This window comes from Homo sapiens, chromosome 5 (assembly GCF_000001405.40).
Source record: "Homo sapiens chromosome 5, GRCh38.p14 Primary Assembly".
In the NCBI taxonomy this organism is placed as follows: Eukaryota; Metazoa; Chordata; class Mammalia; order Primates; family Hominidae; genus Homo; species Homo sapiens.
Window position 1 is genome coordinate 133971709 of NC_000005.10, and position 14466 is coordinate 133986174.

Below are 14466 nucleotides of genomic sequence, written 5' to 3' on the forward strand. Positions count from 1 at the left end.
TCCAGGTAGGCATGCACACCTGCCTCGCTTTGACCTGCAGAACTGTGAAATAAATGAGTGTTGTTTTAAGCTGCTAAACATATGGTAATCTGTTGTACAGTGAGTGAAAACGAATAATATATAATACACAGAGCATGAAGACAAAATAAATCTAAACAAATGCCCTGTTTATTTATATTTTATTAATAAAGACAACAGAAGAAGGATGAGGTTTCAATATTTTATTCAAGTTTTTTAAGTGTTGTTAATTACAGCATTTGAAGGGGAGGATCTAATTCCAACAAAATGGAAGACTCTAAAATGTACCCATTAAACTGCTAAAAAACAAATTGAGTGGTGAGAATACAACAGAAGTCCAATTTAGATTCTGAGTGTTGTCACCATGTGATTACAATCACACAGACACTTCCAAGCTTATAGCTGGAGCTCCTGGAAGCTATTTCATACTCTGGTGCAAGGGCCAAAAAAAAACACAACACAAGAAGGAATAAGTCCTGAATTATTGGCTTCATCACATCCACCTTCTCCACCCCAAAATGGCACAAAAGAAACAGTTACCACACCCTGCAGACCTTTTGGTGTAAAAGAGATGATGATGAACTGGGGTGGGAACAGGTCATGAAGATCTGTCTAAAAAAGTCCCATTCAGGTGAGTTTGTACACACCATCAAGCAGCGAGCCTCTCATCAATTAGGGTTAGGGAACCAAGGTTCGATTCTCAGGAAATCACAATTTCATTCATTTACTCAATATGAATTTACAAAGTGCCTACATATTATCCGCTTCCACTTGCAGCCATTTCTAGATAAAAAAGAAACCTGGCATCTCAAAGGGGCCACCAAGTTCTCCCCGAGTCTACCACTGAAAGGACCTTTTTTGGAAATAGGTTTCTTCTGTACCTCTGGAAGGGTAACATCTTAAAGCTGAATCAACTTTAACCTGGAGGGCTAACATATTTAGCAATACTTGCATCCCAGACATACAACATTAAAAGATACACTAAATTCTGAAGGTAGCTATGCTGCAAAATAGTTTAAAATTAAACAATTGTACAGTATTCATTTATGCTTGAAATTCCAGTCCTAGACCAAGCTTGTGGCCACCAGCATTGACGTTCTTGCCATCCAGAAGAGCTGACAGTGTCAGTTTAATACCTGCAGGGAGAAAAATGAGGGAGAGGAAAGGAGGAGGAATGGAGGAAAGAAATGACAAGAAAGATTAACACCAAATTCAGAACCTGTTCCAGGTATTATCAGCAGGGTCCAAACTACATGGCCCTTCAATCCTTGTTACTTAGCACTATCTGACCAACAGGCATACTACAGTGGGCTTATAAAACAACTATAATTATCCCACCGCCCAGAGAGCCTACCCAAATCTACTTCTGGAACCCCACTTTCCTTTTTCCTCTCACTGTTCCCCTGGTACAATTAGTCTATAGCACTGGTAGCATGCAGTAAGCTTCTTTGGCAATCATCCCTTTAAATGAAACCTCAATCCTGAATCCAACCTAAGGTCTTACATGTTCATGTTCATAGTGTACACACATGTGTAGTGTGCATGTACATCCACAGATGCACACAACAAACTGACATTCCCTGGAATAACCTGATTCAGGGAGTAGCTGGTAGTCTTAGATTTCCAGGGTTCAAAAGTGGTTATACACTAGAACTATAATACGCCGTGGACTGGCCTAGCCAACTGTGCAGAGGAAACCTGCAAACCACTTTTCCTATTTCTTTGTCTTTTTACAGTGGGGCTGATTTATAAGTTAGTTTTGAGAATCTGCCAGAAATAAGTATCAAGCATTATGTCCACACTGGAAAAAAGGATGGAAGAAAATAGCAAAGAATATGTGTTAGCCTCAGCCTTTTTCCTCCTGCTTGCTACATCTCATATTCTCCAAATGTTTTATAATGACCCCATACTCCTTTATAAACATTTAATTATACTTTACATATATCCATTTATATATACCCACTGTATTATATAAACATTTTATAAGCAATGACATAAATCAGCAAACCAGCACCACAATTTTTTTAAGATAAAGAACCGATTTCACACACAAGCAACACATACCTGGCTTTAGAGTCTGAGTGTATCCTAAACCTATCAGGCTGGAGTTGTTCACTTTAGCCTAATCAAGGAAATGACAAAACAGAGAAAACATTAAGTATAATACTTTGCACTTCCATCTCCAAAATTAGAGCTTTTTAGTCAACCAACCTTGGACTTTAGAATCAAAATTTTTCATGACCACCTTGTTCATGAGATTCATTAAATTCAATACAAAATACATCAATTTTAGGTGCATACCTTTCTGTTCAAAGGGTGTGCTGAGATCTGACACCCCTCATAAGAACAAAGCAGAGAGAAGGAAGGCCTCTTAGGGGCCAGTGTCCTTTTGCTCATATAAATAATGAGGCTCCTTTTCTCTTGTTTTTAAGTGCTTGCTGTTAAGGGAGCCAAATTCGGTTCTAGTTTAGGAGACTTAAAAAGGGCTGTCCATAAATTACACAAACCAGTACAGACACCATTCTGCAACATGAGATTCCCTCATTTCACCCCAAAGAGATACAGCCGCCAGTGCCCTGTGACAACAGAAATGAGCCCAATAGGATTTACTGCAAAAACTGTGTAGTAGTTCGAGGGCCTGTGAGCAATGCCAGAGACTCTGCAAGATGCCAACTGACTATTGATTTCTTAATATGCAATGCAGGAGCTGAAAAGGAGAATGAAAAGTGAGGCGGGGCGGGGGGAATTATCAATTAGAACCCTAGATTTCAGAGTGCCCCTTTTAACAGTCCGCATGATAGAACAGGAACTGGTATTAATGGAAGAGGCTTAACAGTAAGCCAGTCTGGTTCAAATCCAGCTCCCAGCACTTTCCTGCTGTGTACCTTTGAGCAAGTTACTCACCTAAGTTTCTAGTTCCTCATTTGTAAAAACAGAGATGATTGGCCAGGGGCCATGGCTCATGCCTGTAATTCCAGCATTTTGGGAGGCCGAGGCAGGCAGATCACCTGAGGTCAGGAGTTCGAGACCAGCCTGACCAACATGGTGAAACCCCGTCTATACTAAAAACACAAAAATTATCCAGGTGTGGTGGTGGGTGCCTGTGTTCCCAGCTACATGGGAGGGTGAGGCAGTAGAATCACTTGAACCTGGGGGACGGAGGTTGCGCAGTGAGCTGAGATCGTGCCATTGCACTCCAGCCTGGGCAACAAAGGGAGACTCCGTCTCAAAAAAAAAAACAAACAAACAGAGATGATTGGCCAGGCATGGTGGCTCATGCCTTGTAATCCCAACATTTGGGAGGTTGAGGTGGGAGGACAGCTTGAGCCCAGGAGTTTGAGACCAGCCCAGGCAACAGAGTGAGACATTGTCTCTACTAAAAATTTTTTTTTAATTAGCCAGGCATGCTGGTGTGCCTATAGTCCCAGCTACTTGGGAGGCTGAGGTGGCAGGATTACTTGAGCACAGGAGGATGAGGCTGCAGTGAGCTGCAATTACACCACTGCATCCAACCTGGGCCTTGTCTCAAAAAAACAAAAAATAAAAAAAACCCAGAGATGATTAAAAAACCAAAGCACCTATTTCAAATGGGATTAAACACAGTAATCTACACAAAAGGCTCTGCACAGTGCCTGGTACCCATAAGAAGTACTAGTAGTATGATCACTGTACTCATTTGGCACTCTTTTCAAAGTGAGAACATCTCTCACTTTGTTTTTGTTTTTTTGAGACGGAGTCTTTTTTTTTTTTTTGAGATAGAATCTCACTCTGTCACCCAGGCTGGAGTGCAGTGACACGATCTCAGCTCACTGCAACCTCCGCCTCCCCGGTTCAAGCAATTCTCCTGCCTCAGCCTCTCGAGTAGCTGGGATTACAGGCACACGCCACCATGCCCGGCTAATTTTTGTACTTTTAGTAGACAGGGTTTCACCGTGTTGGCGAGGCTGGTGTCAGACTCCTGACCTCAAGTGATCTGCCTGCCTTGGCCTCCCAAAGTGCAGGGATTACAGGCGTGAGTCACGGCGCCCAGCAGCATCTCTCACTTTGAGTAAGCTGAAGCACAGCACTCCAGCAAACCTGAAGGATTCCAACATAAAGAGCAGATGGGCCTGCCTGTGAGATGCGTGATTCCACAGATACCCACCGAGAAGCAGGCGTCAGGGTCAATCTGATACTTGGCTGCTATTCCGAAGCGCGTGTTACTGTTTCCTGCTGTCCAGGCAAGATTGACAGCGGTCTCCAACTTCTTGTTCACTTTCTGGTAAATGGAGCCGCCAAACTCTGTCCCGTCATTCCTGCAAACAAGCACAGGACAGATGCTGAGCTTCCCAGGGAGGTGAGCTGCAGCCCAGACAGATCCACCCAAGTCTCCCAGAAGACAGGGATGACAGAAATGGACTGAACCAATACTGGTATTAAGGGAAGTCAGAAGTTCACCAAATTTCACAAAACAGGTACTAAATTACAGGAAGTCTGATAAGTATGGAACAGGCACCTAGCCAGGCACAGTGGCTCACACCTGTAATCCCAGCACTTTGGGAGGCCGAGATGGGCAGATCACTTGAGGTCAGGGGTTTGAGACCAGCCTGGCCAACATGGTGAAACCCTGTTTCTACTAAAAATACAAAAATTGACCGGGCTGGTGCCATACGCCTGTAATCCCAGCTACTCAAGAGGCTGAGGCAGGAGAATCGCTTGAACCTGGGAGGCAGAGGTTGCAGTAAGCCGAGATCGCGCCACTGCACTCCAGCCTGGGCAACAGAGCAAGACATTGTCTCAAACAAAAAAAGAAAAAGCCAGGGGAGAGGGGGTACGTGGTGACTCACGCCTGTAATCCTAGCATTTTGGGAGGCCGAGGCAGCAGGACTGCTTGAGCCCAGGATATAGCTTGGGCAACAGAGCGAGATCCTGTCTCTATAAGGAAAAAAAAAAAAAAGAAGCAGCAAGTAGAGCACTGAGATTCTGAGTGATTTATTTTTACTGCTACTGATGTTATTACTTTTATAAACGATTCTACCAGAAAAATGGCATGGAAGTCCGGGTGCAGTGGTTCATGCCTATAATCCCAGCACTTTGGGAGGCCAAGGCGGGCAGATCATTTGAGGTCAGGAGTTTGAGACCAGCCTGGCTAACATGATGAAACCCTGTCTCTACTAAAAACATAAAAATTAGCTGGGCATGGTGGCAGGTGCCTGTAATCCCAGCAACCTGGGGGGGTGAGGCAGGAGAATCGTCTGAACCCAGGAGGCAGAGGTTGCAGTGAGCTGAGATCTCACCACTGCACTCCAGTCTGGGTGACAGAGTGAGACTCTGGCTCAAAAAATAAAAGTAAAAATAAAAAATGTTATGGAAAGAGAAGAAAATGAGAAGAGAACACAGCCAGAAATGGCAAGAAAGGTGGGGCTGCACATATGCCTCAGAAGGCAAGTTAGAGCCCTTGGCACAACCTGCTGCAGCCACTGCTGGGGAGATACAGTTGGCACTGACCCAGCCTCTTGGAGGAGCAGCACTTCAAAAGAGCTTAATCCACAATTCATCTCGTCCACCTGTGCATACTCCTCACCCATGCTGCAACATCTAAGCCTGGCAGGATTTGAAAGGGAGCTTTTTGCTACATCATAAAATGTCTCCCTCTTTCAAAAACATTCAGAATGAAACCCCAGCTGGCCAAGCTCCCTCCTCTCTTACAAACACACTGAATGACTCCAGTTGCTGGGAATATCCCTTTCCCTTCTTCAGTCATTCAAATTCTCCTCTTCCTCTTTTGGGGCCCTGCTTAAGCTCTCAGAATTTGAAAGTCTGCCCCACCCAGCTGAACAGCCTATACAAACTCTGCAGTCACTGCCACCCCTAAAAAGGCATACGAAGAGCTCAGAGTCTACACTTTGTCCTCTGTCGGGCTGGGGTCGGCACAGATCATAGACTGTCTCTCATTACTGCTTTCAGATTGTTGTTTATACACACAGTGCATACTGGTGCCTGGTCAGAAGCAACCTTCTCCATGGAGGGAACCACAGAAAACAAAAACAGTTAAAGTGGCTGCCACTGCGGAGCTGGGATGAGCAGGCTGAGGCAGGCTGGAATCACTGCTTTTCATAGGCCCATCTGTACTGTTTGATTTTACAACCATGGGTTCAGACTCCTTTGATTAAAAAAATTAAGAAAAATTTTAATGCTGCAATTTTTTAAAAAGGAATGACCATCCTCCTTGCATCAGATGGTCTTCAAGCCTGCCTAGACCCTCTCAAACATCTTTAACATAAAATCAGTGTCTGAGTTCTGCCTCATCATTGTGGGCATTTCCAGTGGAAATGGCATTGGTTAACTGTGAGTCAGAGCCCACGTACTTTGGAATCCAGCAAAGGGCTTCAGGACCTAAGAACAAAAACTCTAGTCTTCACAAGACACTCTCCCTAAATCAGAGAATACATTCTAAATTTTCTTTTTTTTTTTTCCCCAAGATGGGATCTTGCTCTGTTTCCCAGGCTGGAGAGCAGTGGCAAAATCATAGCTCACTGTAACCTCAAACTCCTGGGCTCAAGTGATCACAGGCATGTTGCCACCATGCCCAGCTAATTTTTAAAAAATTTCTTAGAGACAGAGTATTTCTATGTTCCCCAGGCTGGTCCCAAACTCCTGGCCTCAAGTGATCCTCCCGCCTCAGCCTCCCAAGTAGCTAGGATTACACGTATGAGCCACACATTGTAAATTTTCGTTTCCCCATGAAATTCAGCGAGACAGACATTATGCTTCTAGAAAGTACAGGGAGACCCAGGCACTGCCTGATTCACAGAGAATCCTGTCTTCTGTAGACAGCCCAAGTATGCTACAATAAAACAGCAGCCTGTCAAAAATAAGATTTTTGAATGACTTTAGTAATATATTCAAATGGGGAAGTTTCTTGGGCTTACATGTTTTTAAAAAAGGCCAGACTTTTCAGAATATCCTAAAACCAGGAACACAATACTGCCTTCCTGTACAGAGCTTTCAAAACCATAAACAGAAGGCAGATGCAGTGGCTCACACCTGTAATCCCAGCACTTTGGGAGGCCAAGGCGGGCAGATCGCTTGAGCTCACAAGTTCAAGAACAACCTGGGCAACATGGCGAAATCCTGCCTCCACAAAAAATACAAAAATTAGCCAGGTGTGGTGGCATGCACCTGTAGTCCCAGCTACTTGCAAGGCTGAGGTGGGAGTATCACTTAATCCCGGGAGGTGGAGGCTGCAGAGATCGTGCCACTGAACTCCAGCCTGGGTGAGAGAGTGAGACCCTGTCACCAAAAAATAATAATAATAAATAAATAAATACACAGGTGGAACTGTTCAAATTCATCTATATGAAGCACAAAGAATTTCTGTTATGCATTTGGGCCCCTGCAAGCACCAGGGCAACCCAGATGAGTTGTGTCAGCTGCCTTCACGCTGGTTCCAAAAATAAACCATACCCACTTGTTGCTTATTTAAAATGCTGAAGCTCAGATATGTGGGGGAAATGGCTAACAGCCATTGTTCCTCCTAGAATTGGTACTGAAGAATTGGTGCCAATGCCCAATTTCAAACCAAGGAAAACACTTCCCATGCCAATCAGAATTCTACGTTCAAAAACATTTCTATGCATGTGGTATGTTTCCTATAGCTTTTTAGTATGTTTCACCTCTTCTTAATTAAACATATAATAAAATTGATATTTTCTTTGCTTTTTTTTTTTTTTTTTTTTTTTGAGACGGAGTCTTGCTCTGTTGCTCAGGCTAGAGCGCAGTGGCGTGATCTCGGCTCATTGCAAACTCCACCTCCCAGGTTCAAGCGATTCTCCTGCTTCAGCCTCCCAAGTAGCTGGGATTACAGGCACCCGCCACCACGCCCAGCTAATTTTTGTATTTTTAGTAGAGATGGGGTTTCACCTTCTTGACCAGGCTGGTCTTGAACTTCTGACCTCGTGATCCACCCGCCTCGGCCTCCCAAAGTGCTGGGATTACAGGCGTGAGCCACGACGCCCGGCCAAAATGGATATTTTCTTGGTATACATTTTTACGAATTTTAACACACGTACACAGATTAATGTAACCATGACGACAGTCAGAATATAGAACAGTTCCCTCCCCGAAACTCCCTCAGTCACTGCTTTGTAGTCATACCCTCCCCGCCCCCTGCCAACCACTAGATTGTCCATCTCTATAGTTTTCCTGTGACTTTTTAGCTGTAACAGATTCCAAATTAATGATAAAAATTCCTCAAAAAATTTATTAATGGAAATATTAGTTTACACATTAATATCACTGATTTGCCTTAAGTTTAAGAAGTTACTTCTTTAGTGACCTCTAGTGGAAAGAAATAAACATGGTAACTCTGCACCCAGCTTGTGCCTGTCACAGGTTAATTCCTCATGAAACTAAATAAAACAAGGTTTATGGATAAAACAAGATTCATGAATGAAATGTGTTTCCCTTAACTTAAATCATCAATCTACTTCAATTCTCAAGGGGCTCTCTCCTAACCTATAATCACTGTTTCCCTTCACCATACTGTCCAATAGTTACTTTTACATGCTTCACTGTACAGAGAAGATAGTTTGTAACTGAGATAATCAGCTCCTAAATTTGTCTACCATGTCTACATGTCATCAAGCCCAGCAGGCTAATCCTCAGGCATTAGACAGAGAAAGAGAGCTGTTTTGTTAACTAAAACAAAAACTGCAGGGAATGGACACGCTCTGGACTGACACCATGTCCCTGCTGTAATTAATCAGCCACTTTGTGTACCTGTGGCAATATATACTGTTCACAGAGTGGAAAGGATCTAAGACACTCCAGGAAATGGGTAGGTGGGAAACAAAAGATAGCAGCAGGCCATGTGGCTCATCTAATGCCAACAAACTCACTTTACAGTGGTTAAAAACTGGGCTTTCTTAAAAAAAAAAAAAAAAAAACAGTGAAAAGCAATCCCCTTACCACACATGCTCCAACCCCACCCCTCCCACCCTGCTGCCCCCATGTACACTTACACATTAGTGTGAAGCTGGAATTCATCAGTCTTGTAGCCAACTGCAAAGTTGCTCTGGGTCACTCGGGATTTTGCAGTCTCAAAATTCATCTGGTAGCCGGCCAGCCAGCCCTCGTAACCTAGCACCAGAGCACCCCGGATGGAAGGCCCAGCAATGTCGAAATCCATGTCGCAGCCCAGGTTAATGTGCTCCCGCTTGTACCCTGTCTTGATTTTAGCATTTTTTTTCCTGAAGGAAAATAAGTTATATTAAGATCAGAAGCTAACTCACCTTGAAATGCAAGTTGTCTTTTTTTTTTTTTTAATCCCAGGTCAAATAAAGGGAGTGGGGTGGGGGTGAAGTCAGGGCTCCAGTTCTCCCTTAAGCCACTGCTGTACCACAATGAGCAGGACACAACCTCTCTTCCACAGGGACTCAGTCTGCAGAAACCCCACAATAACGAAGTGAGAACACAGACAGGAAAAGCCTGAAAAATAAATACGAAGTAACTTTCTTCTCCTATCCTCTTTGTATGCTTAACGTAGCAGCCTACACAGGCATTCATTAGGTAGAAAGCCACCATGTAATTATGAAACAGATGCATCTTTGATATTTTCCAAACCTGTGGAAAAGATTTATCTGCCATGAAGGCAGCTACCTAAATAGCAGCTTTTAAAGAGACGGTTTTCTTCTTACTCTGTGGCTCACATGGTTAAGTAAGGAAACAAAGGCTATGTTCCCTCTAAGTGAGTACAACAGTAAAATGGATTTCAATTCCATATTCATGAGACCCCAATGAGTACATATTTCAGAGAACCGGGTACTGATGTAGAACCTGGAACTCTGCAGTCATGGGGGCCAGGAAGTGTTAGTTAGCCAGACAGTATCCCAGGTCCAACCTGATGATACCAGATGTGAGTCTATAAGCAGTTCAGTGTCTCTACTGCCGGTTCCTCAAGACCCAGCATCCCTTAGGAAGAGCAGGTGAATAGTGTCACCTGCAGACCTATTATTACCATGTCTTTTACCAAAAGTACACACTGGAGAACAAGATCACATCCAACAAATACAACATGGATCATTTTTATCTGATTGTCTCTATCATTCAGTTACAAGATCGACATCTCCCACAGGAAGCTGCATTCTCAGCAGAGACCACAGGAGGAACCAGATCCACTCAGAGCCTCAAGGACTACACAGCACTGTTCACTTCTAGCTTTATTCACATTGAGATTAATGCTTCATCCTCAGCACCTAGACCATTTCCTCCTAAATGGAACCAGTGCTCCTTGGAGAAATGGCCAACTACAGATCTTAGGCAGGAAATGTACACAGTAACCTAAAACATCTATCAAAGCTATTGAAGACTACTGGGGTGGAGGCAAAAGGACTTACAAGGTAACCTGAAGAGGCTCCCAAGGGCTTCGACAATGGAGCAATGTGAGCCTCAATAAGAAAAATATTAGCAATAGGCTGAAACATATTAAACAGTATGTTTATTCTAGGCATTATAATGACACTCGGGGCCAGGCGCAGTGGCTCATGCCAGTAATTCCAGCACTTTGGGAGGCTGAGGCAGGTGGATCACAAGGTCAGAAGTTCGAGACCAGCCTGGCCAACATGGTGAAACACCGTCTCTACTAAAAACACAAAAATTAGCTGGGCGCGGTGGTGGGCGTGTGTAATCCCAGCTACTCAGGAGGCTGAGGCAGGAGAAACGCTTGAACCCGGGAGGCAGAGGTTGCAGTGAGCCGAGATCGCGCCACTGCACTCCAGCCTGGGCGACAGAGTAAGACTCCGTCTCAAAAAAAAAAAAAAAAGAATTATAATAACGCTCAAATCACATAGCTGTCATCTTTAAAGACTAAAGAACCAACCTGTTATTTTAAAAACAGCAAAAGGCCAGGTGCGGTGGCTTACGCCTATAATCCCAACACTTCGGGAGGCCGAGGTGGGTGGATCACCTGAGGTCAGGAGTTCAAGGCCAGCCTGGCCAACATGGCAAAACCCCATCTCTACTAAAAATGCAAAAATTAGCTGGGTGTGGTGGCACATGCCTGTAATCTCATCTACTTGGGAGGCTGAGGCAGGAGAATCACTTGAACCCAGGAGGTGGAGGTTGCAGTGAGCCAAGACCGCGCCACTGCACTCCAGCCTGGGTAGCAAGAATAAAACTCAGTCTCAAAAAAAAAAAAAAAAATCATGAAACAATCATGTAAATTTGAACAGACTAGAGATTTGACAATATTAAGAAATGATCCACTGGGCGCAGTGGCTCATGCCTGTAATCTCAGCACTTTGGGAGGCTGGGGCAGGCGGATCACCTGAGGTCGGGAGTTCGAGCCCAGCCTGACCAACACGGAGAAATCCCGTCTCTACTAAAAACACAAAATTAGCCGGGTGTGGTGGCCCATGCCTGTAATCCCAGCTACTCAGGAGGCTGAGGCAGGACAATCACTTGAACCCGGGAGGCGGAGGCTGCGTGAGCTGAGATCGCACCATTGCACTCCAGCCTGGGCAACAAGAGTGAAACTCCATCTTTAAAAAAAAAAAAAAAGAAAAAGAAATGATCAACTTTTTTCAATATAATAATAATATCATGGTTATGCTCCTTTAAAATGGATTATTGCCATTTAAAGATACATAATAAAATATTTACAGCTGAAATTAAGTGTTGTTATTTACTTAAAATAGTATGTGCGTGGAGGAGTGTTATATTTATGGCTGTATAAATAAAACATGATTGGCCACAGGTTGGTAACTATCAAAGCTGTGTGATAGGAATAGAATGAGGGTTAAACATATTTTTCTGTATATTTTTGTATGTTTCAGATTTCTCATTAAAAAAAAATAAAGGTTAAAAATTCCAAATTCTCAATGAGACAAGAATTTTAGAGGTCACAGCTGAAAATAAAGCCAGCACCCCTCCCAAGTGATGTAGGAAAATAGCCTGTTCCATGGCAAGAGTGACACCGTCTTGAAACAAAATCACCACTGATACAGTTTCGATGCTGTATCTTCTGAATCTCATGTTGAAATGCAGTCCCCAGTGTTGGACCTGCTGGGTGGTGGTTAGACCATGGGGGTGGATCCCTCATGGATTGGTGCTGTCCTCCCAATAATGAGTTATGAGATCTGGTTGTTTGCGTGTGGCACCTCCCCACCACTCTCTCTCTCTTGCTCCTGCTCTTGCCATGTGATGTGCCTGCTCCTGCTTCATCAATCACCATGACTAAAAGCTTCCTGACGCCTTCCCAGAAGCCGAGCAGATGCCTGTGCTCTGCTTGTACAGACTGCAGAACCATGAGCCAATTGAACCTCTTTTCTTCATAAATTAGCTATCCTCAGGTATTTTTTTCTTTTTTTCAGACAAGGTCTCACTCTGTTGTCCAGGCAGGAGTGCAGTGGTGCGATCATGGCTCACTACAGCCCCTACCTCCTGAGCTCAGGTGATCCTCCCACCTCAGCCTCCCAGGTAGCTAGAACTGACTATAGGTGCGCACCACCAGGCCCAGCTAGTGTGTGTGTGCATGTGGGTAGACGGGGTTTAACCATGTTGCCTAGGCTGGTCTCCAACTCCTGGGCTCAAGCAATCTGCCTGCCTTAGCCTCCCAAAATGCTGGGATTACAGGTGTGAGCCACCTCGCCTGGCCAGGTATTTCTTTAGAGCAATGCAAGGACAAGACTATAGGCGCTCACCACAATGACCAGCGTGTGTGTGTGTGTGTGTGTGTGTGTGTGTGTGTGTGTGTGTGTGTGTGTAGATGGGGTTTCACCATGTTACCTAGGCTGGTCTCCAACTCCTGGGCTCAAGCAATCTGCCTGCCTCAGCCTCCAAAAATGCTAGGATTACAGGCGTGAGCCACCTTGCCTGGCAAGAATAGCCTAATACAGCCATGACGACCAAGGAATGCATCATAGACAATCCCATAAAAGAAACAATGCCAGCCGGGCACAGTGCCTCACACCTGTAATTCCAACACTTTTAGAGGCCAAGGCAGGTAGATCACTTGAGCTTAGGAGTTCAAGACCAGCCTGGCCAACATGGCAAAATTCCATCTCTACTAAAAATACAAAAATTAGCTGGGTGTGGTGGTGCACACCTGTAGTCCCAGACACTCAGGAGGCTGAGGCAGAAGAATCGCTGGAACCCGGGAGGCAGAGGTTGCAATGAGCCAAGATCACGCCTCTGCAGTCCAGCCCGGGTGACAGAGTGAGACTGTCTCAAAAAAATAAATAAATAAAAATTTAAAAAGTAAAGATGCTTATCTAACCTCCCTTTGGTCACAAGTTTTGCAAGAGTTTTCTGCAAGATGGTCTAAGACATGCACATGTCTTTACTCTAAAAGCTTGCTATATAAAGAATACTTTCTGGAGGATGAATGCAGGGATCCACTGTCTCTTGGCTGCTTGAGACATCGCTTCTATTTGTAAGTCTCTATTAAATGTTTCTTTCTGAGAAACTGGATTTGTCAGTCTCTTTCTTTGGCTGCTCAGCTCCCTCAGCAGTTGGGAGTAGGTGTGCACAGACCTGCTCACCAACAGAACAAGTGACAATGAAACTTATGCCTTGGAACCTCAATTTTGTTCAAGTTACTTCTGTACATTTTGGCAAGGTTTGAAGGAAAGGAGTAACAACCAAATTATCTCTCAATAAGAAAAATCCAAAACTGGTCAGGCGTAGTGGCTCACACCTGTAATCCCAGCACTCCAAGGAGGGCAGATCACTTGAGGTCAGGAGTTGGAGACCAGCCTGGCCAACACGGAAAAACCCTGTCTCTACTAAAAATACAAAAATTAGCAGGACGTGGTGGCATGTGCCTGTAATCCCAGCTATTCAGGAGGCTGAGGCACGAGAATTGCTTGAACCTGGGAGGTGGAGGTTGCAGTGAGCTGAAATCACATCACTGCACTCCAGCCTGAGCGACAGAGCAAGATGTCTCAAGAAAAAAGAAAAAGAAACCTATCTTCATCTGCCTGCTCTTTGGGGAAAGAAGTCTGGGTTTCAGCCAAGTATGTGATTGGCACCAGGCTGGTTGAGATGACTGATGATTAGACAGCTGTTGAGAGGCTGACATTTACAAAGGGAAAAGGAAATATAAAATCAGGCATCTTCTAACCATCTCCTTTTTCAATTTTTAATAAAAAGCTGCTGATGATCACAAACTATGATGCCTATGGCAGGGCCTCTGACCAGTGGTGTGCACCACCTGCACCAGTTGACATGGCACCCCCACCCACTGTCTCACTGGATTCTGGCCAGGGCCCACAATCCCCAAGAGAAAGGGCAGTGCTGGGGAGTGGCTCAGGCTTCTCTCCAGGTCTCTTTCTAACACTGCACACCATGTCTGTGGAGTCTTCCTCTTTCAGATATTATTGGGATTTATTTTTAAGCTATTTCAACAGTAGTGCTAATTTGACAAGCACCCGAGAGAGGCCTGACTGATTTGTGGTTAACAAGCAAGCT

General features: G+C 44.4%; 1 protein-coding gene across 19 annotated transcripts in view, besides 1 other annotated feature; it reads right to left on the bottom strand.

The window, feature by feature from the left end:
• Positions 163-14466, bottom strand: part of VDAC1 (voltage dependent anion channel 1) — a 142670-nt gene continuing 128366 nt past the window's right edge. For 12 of the 19 annotated variants that reach the window (NM_001401008.1, NM_001401009.1, NM_001401010.1 and 9 more), the window contains 4 exons: positions 9021-9248; positions 4163-4313; positions 2083-2140; positions 163-1154 (listed from right to left, as the gene is read on the bottom strand). In NM_001401008.1, coding sequence (NP_001387937.1) covers positions 1063-1154; positions 2083-2140; positions 4163-4313; positions 9021-9248 — 529 coding nt within the window. In that variant the 3' untranslated portion in view covers positions 163-1062. Of the gene's footprint in view, positions 1155-2082; positions 2141-4162; positions 4314-9020; positions 9291-9397; positions 9487-14466 lie in introns of all 19 variants that reach the window. The other 7 variants (NM_001401020.1, NM_001401021.1, NM_001401032.1 and 4 more) reach the window with 6 other exon arrangements.
• Positions 2456-2656: a silencer, noted in NCBI's record as "peak5471 fragment used in MPRA reporter construct". NCBI's record gives its function as "represses an SCP1 promoter by STARR-seq MPRAs in K562 erythroleukemia cells {active_cell/tissue: K562}" and the evidence as "EXISTENCE:reporter gene assay evidence [ECO:0000049][PMID:32103011]".